Genomic DNA, 15,718 nt, shown 5'->3' on the forward strand with positions numbered 1-15,718 from the left:
GTAACTGGGATTATAGGCGCCCACCACCAGGCCTGGCTAATTTTTGTATTTTTAGTAGAGTCAGGGTTTCACCATGTTGGCCAGGCTGGTCTTGAACTCCTGACCTCAAGTGATCCACCTGCCTCAGTCTCACAGAATGTTGGGATTACAGGCATGAGCCACCACGCCCAGCCCCAGCTGTTATTCTTGAACCTTACTTACTGAAAGGTATTTTATTTCACTTGTAAATTCAGTTCAGAGTCACTGGGTTGGAATGGTTTCTATGCTGGGTCCTGAGACCTAGGAATATGGGTATTCCTTGCTCATTAGAGATAATTTGCTCTCTGAAATCTTGAAGTTTCTTTACTTTCCTGCCTTCATCATGCTCAAAATACTCAGCATCTCAATGCCACCCTATTCCAGAGCAACCAGTCCCCGCCTTGTGTTTCTTCCCATCTTTCAGTTGCGTGCCCAGAAGGATAGCTGCTTCACAGAATGGGGACCTGCTTATAACATTCTATACACACTCAGCGTGACATGGGGGAATATAGTACTCACCTTCCTTGTTTCACTAGGTAATTGTTGCCCATTAAAATACCTGTTACATCAGTGAGAGTCAAACTGCTGATCTCTGTTATTAGGAAGAAAACATATTCCATCCAGTCTCTTTTTAAGTTTTCTTCATTGCATATTTACAAAATACTTTTCTGGTGTTCTGTGGGGTTGCATACATGTACACCTAGGAAAGCAGGATGTCAGTGTGTACAAGAGTCCTGACAATGGATCCTTTCCTTTACCCAGATGGTTTTTGAGCAGTGGTCATTGGGAGATCCTCTGGCCTCTGTACTTGGTTCAGATGCACACCGGTGGGTGCTCATTTTCTCATTCTTGGCTTATGTTTGGTGCATTTGAGGGCAGTTTGAAGGTTATAACAGAGCTTACCTTTCAGTAGAACCATACTTCTCAAAACAGATTAAGAAGTGCAAGGTCATTTTCTCTACTTCCTTCTGGATGGGGAAAGTATAAGAGCATCCCTTTAATTCTTTCCTTTATTCTTTAGATCCCATTTACTACTACATCCTGGTGAAATCATTCATTTTCCCTCTGTCTCAGAATCAGGTGAATAAGATTTTTGCAGGGATGGGTGAGCCATCTCTGGACTAATAGCTGGATTAAGATATTTCCATATCAATTCTGCTTAGACTCTGTTCTTGGGAGAAGAGGTACAGAGCAAATATTTTAAGTGTGTGCTTAGACAAAAAAGCATTCAGGAATCTCTCGTTTATGGGAGTAAATGATCTATTCTTGAGAAAAAAAATCTTTGGGAGATTATTGGGACCTATTTGTGTCTCTTTCCCTGAATTAAATAAGAATAATACTGAGACTGGCTTCCAGATTTTTTAAGTGATCATTTATCATTGAGTGGTGGCTATACAGGTGATTAAAAAAATAAAATTTAAAAAAATGGGAAATGTTGGCCGGGAACGGTGATTAACGCCTGTAATCTCAGCATTTTGGGAGGCCGAGGCAGGCAGACCCCCTGAGGTCAGGAGTTTGAGACCAGCCTGAACAATATGGTGAGAGAACAGACTCACAGCAATTCTCATTTTCGCCCGGGTATAGTGGCTCTACTAACCCTGTCTCTACTAAAAATACAAAAATTAGCTGGGTGTGGGGGCAGGTGACTACGTTCCCAGCTACTCGGGAGGCTGAGGCAGGAGAATCCCTTGAACCCAGGAGGCGGAGGTTGCAGTGAGCCTAGATCACGCCACTGCACTCCAGCTTGGGTGACAGAGCGAGACTCCATCTTGAAAAACAAAACAAAACAAAACAAAAAATAGGGAATATTTCACGAATTTGCATGTCATCTTTGCACAGGGGCCATGCTAATCTTTTCTGTATTCTAATTTTAGATATGTGCTGCTGAAGCGAGCAGAGATTATTTTTTTAAAATTAATTTTTATATTAAATTAAATTAATTAATTTATTTATTTGAGATCAGCTCTCACTCTGTCACCCAGGCTGGAGTTCAGTGTCGTGATCTTGGCTCACTGCACCCTGGACCTCGTGGGCTCAAGCCATTCTCCTACCTTAGCCTCCTGAATAGCTGGGACTATAAGCGTTCGCCATCACGCCCAGCTAATTTTTGTATTTTTTGTAAAGACTAGGTTTCACCATGTTGCCCAGGCTAGTCTTGAACCCTGAGCTCAAGCAATCAGCCTGCCTCGGCCTCCCAAAGTGCTAGGATTTCAGGCGTGAGCCACTGCGCCCAGCCTATTTTATTTTATTTTTTTTGTCCCTGTTGTGGAGGCAGGTGAATTTTTTTTTTTTTTTTTTTTTGAGACAGAGTCTCGCTCTGTTGCCCAGGCTGGAGTGCAGTGGTACGAACTCGGCTCACTGCAAGCTCCGCCTCCCGGGTTCACACCACTGTCCTGCCTCAGCCTCCCAAGTAGCTGGGACTACAGGCGCCCGCCACCATGCCCGGCTAATTTTTTTGCATTTTTAGTAGAGACGGGGTTTCACCGTGTTAGCCAGGATGGTGTCGATCTCCTGACCTCGTGATCTGCCCAGCCGGCAGCAGGTGATTTTTTAAATTAAAAAATATATTTCCTTAAATAGAGGTGGGGTCTTGCTATGTTTCACAGGGTGGTCTCCAACTCCTGTGTTCAAGTGATCCTCCCACTATGGCCTCCCAAAGTGCTGGGATTATAGGTGTGAGCCACCACACTTGGCCTGGTGATTTTTTTTTTTCCCCAACTTTACAAATACTTTTCTGGTTGTGCACTGTGGTGTGTTTCTCTAGTAATAGCTACTCAGGAGGTTGAGGCGGGAATATCACTTGAGCCCAGGAGTTTGAGTACAGCCTGGGCAACATAGTGAGACCTCATCATAAAAACGAAAAGAAAACAAAAAGCAAACAACTTTTCTATATTTTTAAGGCCTAATATAATGAACATTTATTATTATTAAAATTATATTTTAAAGTTTTATTAAAAATAAAATACAGGCTGGGCGCAGTGGTTCATGCTTGTAATCCCAGAATTTGGGAGACTGAGGCAGGAGAATTGCTTGAACTTAGGAGTTTGAGACTAGCCTTGGTAACATAGTGAGACCTCCTCTCTACAAAAAGTTAACAAATTAGCCAGGTATAGTGGCATGCACCTGTAATCTCAGCTGCTCAGGAGGCTGAGATGAGAGAATCTCTTGAGCCCAGTAATTCAAGGCTGCAGTGAGCTATGATCATGCCACTGCATTCCAGCCTGGTCAACAGAGCAAGACCCAGTCTCAAAAATAAAAAATAAAATGAAATAAAACACAAAGTAAATATACAAGTAGCGGCACTCCAACTTCTCAGTACTGTAAGATATAAGAAGTTTTAGGCCAGGTGCGGTGGCTCATGCCTGTAATCCCAGCACTTTGGGAGGCCAGGGCAGGCAGATCGGGAGTCCAAGGTCCAGCCTGAGGTTGGGAGTTCGAGACCAGCCTGACCAACATGGAGAAACCCCGTCTCTGCTAAAAATACAAAATTAGCCGGGCGTGGTGGCATATGCCTGTAATCCCAGCTACTCGGGAGGCTGAGGCAGGACAATGGCGTGAACCGGGGAGGCGGAGCTTGCAGTGAGCCAAGATTGCACCACTGCACTCCAGCCTGGACGACAGAGTGAGACTCCGTCTCAAAAAAAAAAAAAAAAATTATCTTCCTTGAAATGATTAAAATGTGAAATGGTTGAAAACTCAGACTTAAAAGGGAAGCATTAGGGCTGTGCAAGGTGGCTTGTGCCTGTAATCCCAGCACTTTGGGAGGCCAAGGCTGGAGGATTGTATGAGTCTAGGAGTCTGAGACCAGCCTTAGTGACATAGCAAGACCCTGTCTCTACAAAAAAATTTAAAAATTAGCTGGGCATGATGGTGCACACCTGTAGTCCCAGCTACTCAGGAGGCTGAGGTAGGAGGATCACTTGAACCTGGGAGGTCAAGGCTGCAGTGAGCTATCATCCTGCTGCCCTGCACTCCAGCCTGGGTGACAAACGAGACCCTGGCTCAAAAACAAAAAAAAAGATTAAAAATAGCACCCTTTTACAATGTTTTGTGAAGGTAAACTAGCTGACTGTTGTTCTTAAGAATAGCTCATATGGAAAATTTCTAAGTTGGAAACATCTTCAGAACTACACCTCTACCCAACCCCACCCCCTCAAAAAAAGATCAAAAGAATTTACTTCTTCTATTACCTATTGTGAAATAGGAGGTTAATTTCTCATCCTATTATAGAAGGAACAAAGACTTTGTGCCTTTGTTGGATATTAGATGTAGAAATATTACGTTAATACCAGACTTAATATTCAGTCTGTGATAATCAAAAGATGATTATTCTTTATGGTAATTAGAATAAAGTTTCTGAGTAAAGTATTTTTCACCTAAAATCATTTTAAGTTGGCAAGTTAAAATATCGAAGGAGATATGGTTTAATGTAACTAAATAGTCTGCAAATTTGTAAAGTGGTTGTATGGCCTTTCAACTTATAATTAAAGTGCTTGATGAAGATGGTTTTTTGGCCTTGGGGTAGTTAACTGTATTGCCTGCCTGTTTGACAGTGCAAATTACAGGTTCCTTATGTCTTGATTTCTGGGATTTCCTGTTTCTGATCCAGTTTAAGTGTCATGTTATTGTGTAATATATGCCAATGTTTTAAAAAGTATATGCACATATATTTAATGATGTACTTTACTTTCTGCCTCTTTGGAGTTAGTGCCAGTGCTGCCATTCATGCCAAAGAATGGCCTTCATCCTTTCTCACTGTGCTTTCTGCAGTTTTCTCCTGGGCACAAGCTACATTCACTGCCTTCCTGAGACCCACCCCAGAACTAAACCATTCTCTGTACTGAAACCCAGACATATCAGCCATTAACAATTACTGCCATCTCTGCCACATAAAACATCAGAAGTGTTTTTTGACTTGCCATAAAGTTGATATCTTTTCTGTTTTCTATTGGCAATAAAACATACATGAGCTGGGTGCTGTGTTGCGCACCTGTAGTTCCAGCTACTTAGGAGGCTCAGGTGAGAGGATCACTTGAGCCCAGGAGTTCAAGGCCAGCCTAGGCAACATAGCAAGAACCTGTCTGAAAAAAAAAAGAAAAAATAATAATTAAATTATATGTTTATTATGCAACTTTTCTCTTGTTTCTAAGAGATTCCAGACCAGAAGTTCTAAAGTTTTAAGCAAGTTTTCAAAAATCTAGGCTGGGGCCAGGCACAGTGGCTCACACCTGTAATCCCAGCATTTTGGGACGCCAAGGCAGGCAAATTGCTTGAGCTCAGGAGTTTAAGACCAGCCTGGGAAACGTGGTGAAACCCTGTCTCTACAAAAAATACACAGCTTAGCCGGGTGTGGTGGTACACGCCTATGGTCCCAACTACTTGGGAGGCTGAGGCAGGAGGATAAGTTGATCCTGGGAGGTCAAGGCTGCTAAGAGCCCGAGATCGCACCACTGCACTCTAGCCTGGGTGACAGAGCGAGACCTTGTCTCAAAAACAAAAATCTATGCCAGGTGCAGTGGCTCATGTCTGTAATCCCAGCACTTTGGGAGGCCGATACAGGAGGATTGTCTGAGCTCAGGAGTTCAAGACCAGCCTGGGCAACATAGTGAAACCCCGTCTCTACAAAAAATACAAAAATTAGCTGGGCGTGGTGGGGCACACCTGTAGTCCCAACTACTCCAGAGGCTAAAGTGGGAGGATGGCTTGAGCCTGGGAATCAGAGGTTGCAGTGAACCAAGACTGTGCCACTGCACTCCAGCCTGGACAATAGAATGAGACCCTGTTTCAAAAAAAAAATTTTTTTTTTCAAAAATCTGTATTTTTTTTCATATGAAGTGTATTTGTTTTGGATTCAAAGATGAATGCCAGAGACTCTTAACTCTTGAGTCTTCCAGCTTTTCCCAATAAAGTCCCTATTCCTATTTCAGTCTTCCTTTTTCTTTTCTCCTTATAGTGGACATTTGGGAGCAATAAAAATAAGAAGAAAGGAAAAGCCAGAAAAATAGAGAAGAAAGGAACCATGAAGAAACAGGCCAACAAAACTGCCTCCTCAGGCAGTTCAGACAAAGACAGTTCAGCTGAGAGCTCAGCCCCTGAGGAAGGTGAGCTGAGCAGCCTAGACCTGGAAGGTCAACTCCCACTCTTGTCAGCTTGAAGGTGCAAAGGCAGAAGTGGGGAGGAAGGGGGGTACTTGCATTCAGCATGACCTCTTCTTTAGAGCAGTGGTTCTTAACTTTTTCCATGGTCATGGATGCTTTGAGAATCTGAATGAAGCAAGAAAAATGCATGCAATTCCAAAGGTTGGTGAGACCCCTGAAACCTATCCCTGGAACCCACGAGGATTCCTGCATTAGTCTTGAATACCCTGAGTGCCTTTCCCTCCCCTTTTTTTCTTGCTTATGCATAGTCTGACTGAGGAGGGAATCTCAGTAGAAAATGTTCCTTTTCTGGAAGCCAATTCCAGAATTTTTCAACACTAGTTTGAAAAGTGAACTTGGGCCAGGTGCAATGGCTCATATTTGTAATCTCAACACTTTGGGAGGCCAAGGTGGGAGGATCGCTTGAGCCCAGGAGTTCAGGACTAGCCTGGGTAACATAGTGAGATCCCATCTCTACAAAAAAATTTAAAAATTAGCTGGGTGTTATGGTATGCACCTGAGGTCCCAACTACTTAGGAGGCTGAGGCGAGAGGCTTGCTTGAGCCCAGGACTTCGAGGTTACTGTGAGCTATGATCACACCACTGCACTCCAGTGACAGAGCAAGACCCTTTCTCAACAACAACAAAAAAAAGTAGGAAAAAAAAAAAAGAAAAATGCAGGGACACTGGAAGAGAAAATAGAAGTGAACTTGTTCCAGGACTAGAATGATAACCTGTAAATTATAAAAATTTTAAAAACATTTTTAAAAATAATGTTTACATAAAAGCTGACTTTATAAAATTGGCCTAACCCGGTTTTGAGCACATGCCTATGAATGTTAGCTCAAATTGAGTCAAGGGCAGTTCCTGTTAAATTGCTGACTTAGTTCAATACTCATTGTACTCACATACTTTTTCCATGCCAACATTTGTCCTGTTAAGATCTACTATTATGATAAATTCACTAATCAATTTTTAATTGTTCATTAAAATGTGTTTTTTTATTTTTTATTTTTTTAATTTATTATCGAGACAGAGTTTCGCTCTTGTTGCCCAGGCTGGAGTGCAATGGCGCGTTCTTGGCTCACTGCAACCTCTGTGTCCCGGGGTTCAAGAGATTATTCTGCCTCAAGCAGCTGGGATTACAGATGCTCACCAGCACACTTAGCTAATTTTTTATATTTTTAGTAGAGATGGGGTTTCACCATGTTGGCCAGGCTGGTCTTGAACTCCTGACCTCAGGTGATCCACCTGCCTTGTCCTCCCAGAGTGCTGGGATTACAGGTGTGAGCCGCCACACCCGGCCATAAAAAAATTTTTTTTTTAATGCCAGCTAATAAATAAAAAAGAAATTATAGGGTTAGAAGAATCACCACTTTTCAATCATAGTGATAAAGTTGATTTACTCAAGAATCCTCAATGATTGTTAAAACCACTGGGTGAGAGTTTGTTGGAAAACAAAATTATATAGTCTTAAACCTTCTGCCTATACATACTATTACACAAAGAGGAAAAGGTGCCTTTACAAAGGGAAAATCTGGGAGACACCACCTTTACCAAGTAATCCAAATTAAAATAATGGGACAAACAGATGTTAGGGCTTCCTGATGTGATACATTGAAAAGGACACAATCACTTATGGAGTATTCTTGCCAAAAATTCATAACCTGAATTGTTTCTTAACAAATCAACCAAACCAAATGAAGTGGACATTTGATAACTGTTGCTATTTCAACTTAAATTAACTAAAAAGTCATGTTTAAAATTTAGTTTTTCAGTTGCACTAGCCACATTTGAGTTTGTGAATACCCATATGTGGTGGCTGCTGTTCAGATAGACAAAATTTTCATCACCACCTCACAGAATTCTACTAGACAATTTTTTGGGGCTTATACTCTTCAAAAATTCAGTGCACCAACAAGTGGATAAAGAAAATGTGTATGTATGCCAGCCGGGCATGGTGGCTCACACCTGTAATCCCAGCACTTTGGGAGGCCAAGGCAGGCGGATCACAAGGTCAGGAGTTTGAGACCATCCTGGCCAACATGGTGAAACCCCGTCTCTACTAAAAATACAAAAATTAGCTCAGCATGGTGGTGCCTACCTGTAATCCCTAATACTCTGGAGGCTGAGGCAGGAGAATCGCTTGAACCAGGGAGTTGGAGGTTGCAGTGAGCCGAGATCACCCCACTGTACTCCAGCCTGGTGACAGAGTGAGACTCTGTCTCCAAAAAAAAAAAAAAGAAAATGTGTATGTATGCCATGGGATATTAGCCACAAAACGGAATGAAATAATGGCCTTTGCAGCAACTTCAGTGGAGCTGGAGGCCATTTTTCTAAGTGAAGTAACTAAGGAACGGAAAACCAAATATAGTATGTTCTCATGTATAAGTGGTGTTTAAGCCATCAGGATGCAAAGGCATAGAATGATATAATGGGGCCAGGTGTAGTGGCTCACGCCTGTAGTCCCAGCACTGTGGGAGGCCAAGGCAGGTGGATCACTTGAGGTCAGGAGTTTGAGACCAGCCTGGCCAACACAGTGAGACCCTGTCTCTGCTAAAAATACAAAAATTAGCCAAGCATGGTGGTGCGCTCCTGTGGTCCCAGCTACTCAGGAGGCTGAGCCCCAAGAATCGCTTAAAGAGGAGGTTGCAGTGAGCCGAGATCAGGCAATAGAGTGAGACTCTGTCTCCAAAAAAAAAAAAAAGAATGATATAATGGACATTGGGGACTTGGGGAGGGAGTGAGGGTTAAAAGAGTACATATTGGGTACAGTGTACACTGCTTGGGTGATAGATACACCAAAATCTCAGAAATCACCACTAAAGAACTTATCCATGTAATCAGGCCAGGTGCGGCGGCTCACACCTGTAATCCCAGCACTTTGGGAGGCCAAGACGGGGATCACCTGAGGTCAGGAGTTCGAGACCAGCTGGACCAACATATTTTCATCTTTACTAAAAATAGAAAAATTAGCCGGGCGTGGTGGCATGTGCCTGTAGTCCCTGTTACTTGGGAGGCTGAGGCAGGAGAATTGCTTGAACCCGAGAGGTAGAGGTTGCAGTAACTGAGATCAGCCTAGGCAACAAAAGTGAAACTCCATCTCAAAAAAAAAAAAAAGGCTGGGCGCAGTGGCTCATGCCAGTAATCCCAGCACTTTGGGAGGCTGAGGTCGGCGGATCATGAGGTCAGGAGATTGAGACCATCCTGGCTAACATGGTGAAACCCCATCTCTATTAAAAAAATACAAAAAAATTAGCCAGGCGTGGTGGTGGGCATCTATAATCCCAGCTACTCAGGAGGCTGAGGCAGGAGAATGGCATGAACCCGAGAGGCGGAGCTTGCGCTGAGTCGAGATCGTGCCACTGCACTCCAGCCTGGGCGACAGAGAGAGACTCTGTCTCAAAAAAAAAAAAAAAGAACTGCTGGGGGCCAGGCGCAGTGGCTCACGCCTGTAATTCCAGCACTTTGGGAGGCCAAGGCGAGCGGATCACTTGAGGTCAGGAGTTCAAGACCAACCTGGCCAACATGGTGAAACCCCATCTCTGCTGAAAATATAAAAATTAGCTGAGTGTAGTGGTGAGCGCCTGAGCTACTCGGGAGTCTGAGGCAGGAGAACTGTTTGAACCGGGGAGGTGGAGATGGCAGTGAGCCGAGATCGCGCTGCTGCACTCCAGCCTGGGTGACAAGCAAAAACTCCATCTCAAACAAAATAAATAGGCCGAGCATGGTGGCTCACACCTGTAATCCCAGCACTTTGAGAGGCCAAGGTGGGCGGATCACGAGGTTGAGAGATCGAGACCATCCTGGCCAACACGGTGAAACCCCATCTCTACTAAAAATACAAAAATCAGCTGGACGTGGTGGCGTGCACCTGTAGTCCCAGCTACGCAGGAGGCTGAGGCAGGAGAATCGCTTGTGAACCAGGGAGGTGGAAGTTGCAATGAGCTGAGATCACACCACTGCACTCCAGCCTGGGGCAGAGTGAGACTCCGTCTCAATAATAATAATAATAAATAAGATGGGGCCAGGTGTGGTGGCTTACACAGGCGTAAGCCTGTAATCCCAGCACTTTGGGAGGCCAAGTCAGGAGGATTGCTTGAGCCCAAGAGTTCGAGACCAGCCTTGGCAACAAAGCGAGACCCCAATTCTATTTAAAAAGTAAAAATAAATAGGCGCAGTGGCTCACGCCTGTAATCCCAGCACTGGGAGGCCGAGGTGGGCAGATCACCTGAGGTCAGGAGTTCGAGACCAGCCTGAACAATATGGTGAAACCCCGTCTCCAATAAAAATACAAAATTAGCTGGGTGTGGTGGCACACATCTGTAATCCCTGCTACTTGGGAGGCTGAGGCAGGAGAATCGCTTGAACCCGGGAGGTGGAGGAGCTGAGATTGTGCCACTGCACTCCAGCCTAGGCAATAAGAGCAAAACTCCATCTCAAAAAAAAAGTAAAAACAAATAAGTAAAATAACAAACTGGTTTCTTACTGTAGCTGAAAGAAGGGTGATGTTGTCAACATTGTGGAGCCGCTTGTGGCCTGTCTTCTGTAGCATAGTGTAATCTTGTGTTTGGGCCTTTGTTGCAGGTGAAGTGTCAGACTCTGACAGCAACAGCTCCTCTTCCAGTTCAGATTCAGACTCTTCCTCAGAAGATGAAGAGTTCCATGATGGCTATGGAGAAGACCTCATGGGAGATGAGGAAGACAGGGCCCGTCTGGAACAGATGACAGAGAAAGAGAGAGAGCAAGAACTGTTCAATCGCATAGAGAAGAGGGAGGTGTTGAAAAGAAGGTAAGGTTGTCCTCGTCGTTGTCCCCCCCCCGCCCCCACCTTTTCTGTTCATCTCTTTTCTCATACTTCCCTGTCCTTCACACCTGACCTACACATGGAGACTGGCATTTGGAATTGACTGTTAACATGATGAGACGCAAGTGATGTATTAAATTTCAATCACATTCATTATTTACTCAGTGCCACTGGCTTTGTTTACTAATGTACGTTATTCAGAAGGTTTTATTCATAAGACATTATTTATGTGCACTATTTAATCTTCACAACTGCTCTGTGAAGTTGGTTATACCATATTACAGAGGTAGACGCTTAGGCTTAGAGACATTAGGTAACTAAAGAGTAAGCTGCATGAAGGGAGAGACTTTGTCCTTTTCGCCACTCTATTCTTAGTGCCTAGAACAGTACCTGGCACAGAGATATGCACTAAATACTAGTTGAGTGAATGAATGAAGAAACTTGCCCAAGGTGATTTAGCTGGTAAGTGGTAGAACTGGATTTCAAACCTGGGACCATCTGACACCATAAAACACGCTGTGGCCATATCCTCTCCTGCGTCACATTTCCTGTCATTTTACCTATTCTGTAACACCGCACTACAGGCAGCATTCTAAAGGGAATTACATACTTTGGGAGGCCGAGGTGGACGGATCACCAGAGATCAGGAGTTCTAGACCAGCCTGGCCAACATGGTGAAAACCCATCTCTACTAAAAATACAAAAAAATTAGCCTGGTGTGGTGTTGTGCACCCGTAGTCCCAGCTACTCAGGAGGCCGAGGCAGGAGAATTGCTTCAACCCAGGAGATGGAGGTTGCAGTGAGCTGAGATGGCGCCACTGCACTCTAGCCTTGGTGAGAGCGAGACTCTGTCTCAATAAAAAATAAAAATAAAAATAAATAAATAAAAGGAATTACAGGCCAAGTGTGGTGGCTCACACTGGTAATCCCTGCACTTTGGGAGGCCAAGGCGGGCGGATCACTTGAGGTCAGGAGTTCGAGACCTGCCTGGCCAACATGGTGAAACCCATCTCTACTAAAAATACAAAAAATTAGCCAAGCATGGTCGTACGCATCTGTAATCCCAGCTATTCGGGATCCTGAGGCAGGAGAATGGCTGGAACCCAGGAGGCGGAGGTTGCAGTGAGCCAAGATTATGCCACTGGACTCCAGCCTGGGCGACAGAGGGAGATTCCGTCTCAAAAAATAAAAAATAAAGGGAATTACAGGCCTGGCGCGGCGGCTCACACCTGTAATCCCAGCACTTTGGGAGGCTGAGGTGGGTGGATCAGTTGATTCCAGGAATTCAAGACCAGTCATGGCAACATGGCAAAACGCTCTCTCCTACAAAAAATAGTCAGGCATGGTGGCCCATGCCTGTAGTCCCAGGTACTTGGGAGGCTGAGTCAGCAGGAGTATCATTTGAGCCCGGAATGTAGAGTTTGCAATGAGCTGAGATTGCACCACTGCACTCCAGCCTGGGTGACAGAGTGAGACCCTGTGTCAAAAAAAAGGGAGGGGAATTATAGAGATTGTTTTTGTCTTGATAAAGATCAGTACGTGATTTGATTTCTACTGAGCAAAAAGTATTGAAGTAATCATAAGATTGCGTTGGTTTTAGAACATGAATACAGTAATGATTGAGAGTAATATGGGAACACATCAAATGATATGTAAAAATTAAATGAACAAATGGTGTTTTAAAGCTTTATATTTTACAAATTGGCTTCAAATTGTTCACGCTCCTAGGTTGAAATAATTTTCCAAAATTCATATTTGGAGCCCTGTCTTCACAGGATTCAAGACTTGGAATTTCTCCTCATTATGTACAAGTTAGGTATCTGACTATCCTCTAGCATGGTTTTTGTATTTTTTTAAAAAGTCAAGTGTTAAATTACTTTTTGATATTTAGAAGCTGCTTCAATGTTTTGAACTTTTGCCATATTTTAAATGGAAAAGTTTTAAATATGGCAGTAGTTCTTCCTTATCTCCTAACAGAATTTCAAGGTAAAAATAAACTTGGCTTTTGTCTTGGAAATAAAATAGCCCTCAGAACAAGGATCCTACCTATTTAATCTTATGAAAGGAGAATAGAAGCATTTTCTTTGGCAGCACTTAGTTCCTTTTCATCTGGGAGTTTTGTTTGTCCCTTCTGGAGACCATATTAAGTATGCTGAGTTATCCTAGAGAAGAATGTTTGGCTTTCAGTCAGCAGCAAGCAATAGACATTTGATTTTTGTTTTTGTTTTTGTTTTTTTTTTTTTTTTTTGAGACAGACTTTCATTCTTGTTGCCCAGGCTGGAGTGCAATGGCACGATCTCGGCTCACTGCAACCTCCACTTCCTGGGTTCAAGTGATTCTCCTGCCTCAGCCTCCCAAGCAGCTGGGATTACAGACGCCCGCCACAACGCCCGGCTAATTTTTGTATTTTTAGTAGAGACAGGGTTTCACCATGTTGGCCAGGCTGGTCTCAAACTCCTGACCTCAAGTGATCCACCTGCCTCAGCCTCCCAAAGTGCTGGAATTACAGGTGTGAGCCACCGCGCTCGGCTTCAACATTTGTTTTGAGTGTGAATCCTTCCAAGTTTACCTATATTGGAACAAATAGGACTTAATAAACTGTGCTGGAGTTACCAGATGGTTTAAAATTTGTATATCTGAACTGTGGAAAGCATAGTAAGATGTTGTCGTGTAAGGCCAATAAGTCCTATGACAAAATCACAAAGTAGCTCAAGGGTAATAGGTGGCTTGTCTCAAACTTAGTTTTTATGTTTTTCACCTTACGTGAATGAGACAGTTGACTGATTCAGTGACTTCTTAAAAAAAAATTTTTTTTTTTTTTAGACAGAGTCTGGCTTTGTTGTCCAGGCAGGAGTGCAGTGGTGTGAACTCGGCTCACTACAATTGCCACCTCCTGGATTCAAGCCAGCCTCCCACCTCAGCCTCCCAAGTAGCTGGGACTACAGGCTGTAGGCTACCATGCCTGGCTAATATTTTTTCTTTTTTTTCTTTTTTTTTTTTTTTGAGATGGAGTCTCACTCTGTTGCCCAGGGTGGAATGCAGTGACACGATCTTGGCTCACTGCAACCTCCGCCTACCAGGTTCAGTGATTCTCCTGCCTCAGCCTCCTGTGTAGCTGGGATTACAGGCATGCGCCACTATGTCAAGCTAATTTTTTTTTTTTTTTTTGAGATGGAGTTTTGCTCTTGTTGCCCAGGCTGGAGTGCAATGGCACAATCTCGGCTCACTGCAACCTCTGCCTCCCGGGTTCAAGCAATTCTCCTGCCTCAGCCTCCCCTGTAGCTGGGATTACAGGCGCCCACCACCACGCCCAGCTAATTTTTGTATTTTTAGCAGGGACGGGGTTTCACCATGTTGGCCAGGCTGGTCTCCATCCACCTCCTGACCTGAGATGATCCACCCGCCTCTGCCTCCCAAAGTGCTGGGATTACAGGCGTAAGCCACTGTGCCTGGCCAATTTTTGTATTTTAAGTAGAGACAGGGTTTCACTATGTTGGCCAGGCTGGTTTCCAAGTCCTGACCTTAAATGATCCTCCTGCCTTGGCCTCCCAAAGTGCTGGGATCACAGGCGTGAGCCACCACACCGGCCTGGCTAATTTTTCTTTCTTTTTTTTTTTTTGAGACTGAGTCTCGCTCTGTCCCCCAGGCTGGAGTGCAGTGGCGCAACCTCGGCTGACTGCAAGCTCCGCTTCCCGGGTTCATGCTATTCTGCCTCAGCCTCCCAAGTAGCTGGGTTTACAGGCGCCCGCCACCACACCCAGCCAATTTTTTGTATTTTTAGTAGAGATGGGGTTTCACCGTGTTAGCCAGGACGGTCTTGATCTCTTGACCTCGTGTTCTGCCTGCCTTGGCCTCCCAAAGTGCTGGGATTACAGGTGTGAGCCACCGTGCCCGCCGGCCTGGCTAATTTTTCATATTGGCCAGGCTGGTCTGGAGTTCCTGACCTCAGGTGATCCACCCACCTCGGCTTTCCAAAGTGCTGGGATTACAGGCGTGAGCCACCTCTCCTGGCCCTGTAATTTTTTTTTCTTTTTTTTTTTTTTTTAGAGAGGGGGGGTTTGCCATGTTGCCCAGGCTGGTCTTGAACTCCTGGCCTCAAGCAATTCGTCCACCTCGGCTTCCCAAAATGCTGGGGTTACAGGTGTGAACCACCACCCCCAGCTTCAGTGACTTTTTTTAGTGACTATAAGAATGGTTTAGTGTGCTGATTATTAAGACAGAGGTTCAGAGCCATCATAGAAAATTGATATTTTAGTAGTTCGTTTGTTTAGCTTCAGGGCAGTGCAATATGGAAACTCTGGAATTTCCTGAATCTTTTTTACTTTAAAAGCTCTTTATATGGATTGCATTTAATCTTTGTAGTCTTTTTTATGTAAGCACCATTAGCATCCTGTTCTCTAGCCAGCAGCACCAGTAGTGAGATGTCATTTTCAGTTGTTAGATTATTCATGGGGGCAGGAAGCATAAAAGGTAGCCTGGTTGTAGAAAGGGCACTGACATTGCAGTTAGAAGGTCTAGGGGTCAAGTCAGACTCGCTGGAGGGGTGATCGGAGTTAAATCACTTTCTCTTCCTGCCTCAGCTTCCTCCTGGGGGTTGTTGTAAACCTCAAGAGAGATTATATACATAAGAACATTATGTAAATGTAAACTATCACTAACTCTAAAAAATAACTTTGTTTAAAATAACCCACTTAAAGTGTATAATTCATTGGTTTTTATATGTCCACAGAGTTGTGCAATCATCACCACAATTAAT

At 44.0% G+C, this 15,718-nt stretch overlaps 1 protein-coding gene and 1 pseudogene across 1 annotated transcript in view; one reads left to right on the forward strand and one right to left on the reverse strand.

Moving 5' to 3' along the window:
* The window catches only part of RTF1 (RTF1 homolog, Paf1/RNA polymerase II complex component), a 66,469-nt gene that overhangs the window by 29,835 nt on the left and 20,916 nt on the right, over window positions 1-15,718 (forward strand). The window contains exons 3-4 of the mRNA NM_015138.5: window positions 5,972-6,119; window positions 10,743-10,947. Coding sequence (NP_055953.3) covers window positions 5,972-6,119; window positions 10,743-10,947 — 353 coding nt within the window. The remainder of the gene's footprint in view (window positions 1-5,971; window positions 6,120-10,742; window positions 10,948-15,718) is intronic.
* RNU6-1169P (RNA, U6 small nuclear 1169, pseudogene) lies at window positions 1,813-1,915 on the reverse strand (annotated as a pseudogene).

This window comes from Homo sapiens, chromosome 15 (genome assembly GCF_000001405.40).
Source record: "Homo sapiens chromosome 15, GRCh38.p14 Primary Assembly".
NCBI classification, from domain to species: Eukaryota; Metazoa; Chordata; class Mammalia; order Primates; family Hominidae; genus Homo; species Homo sapiens.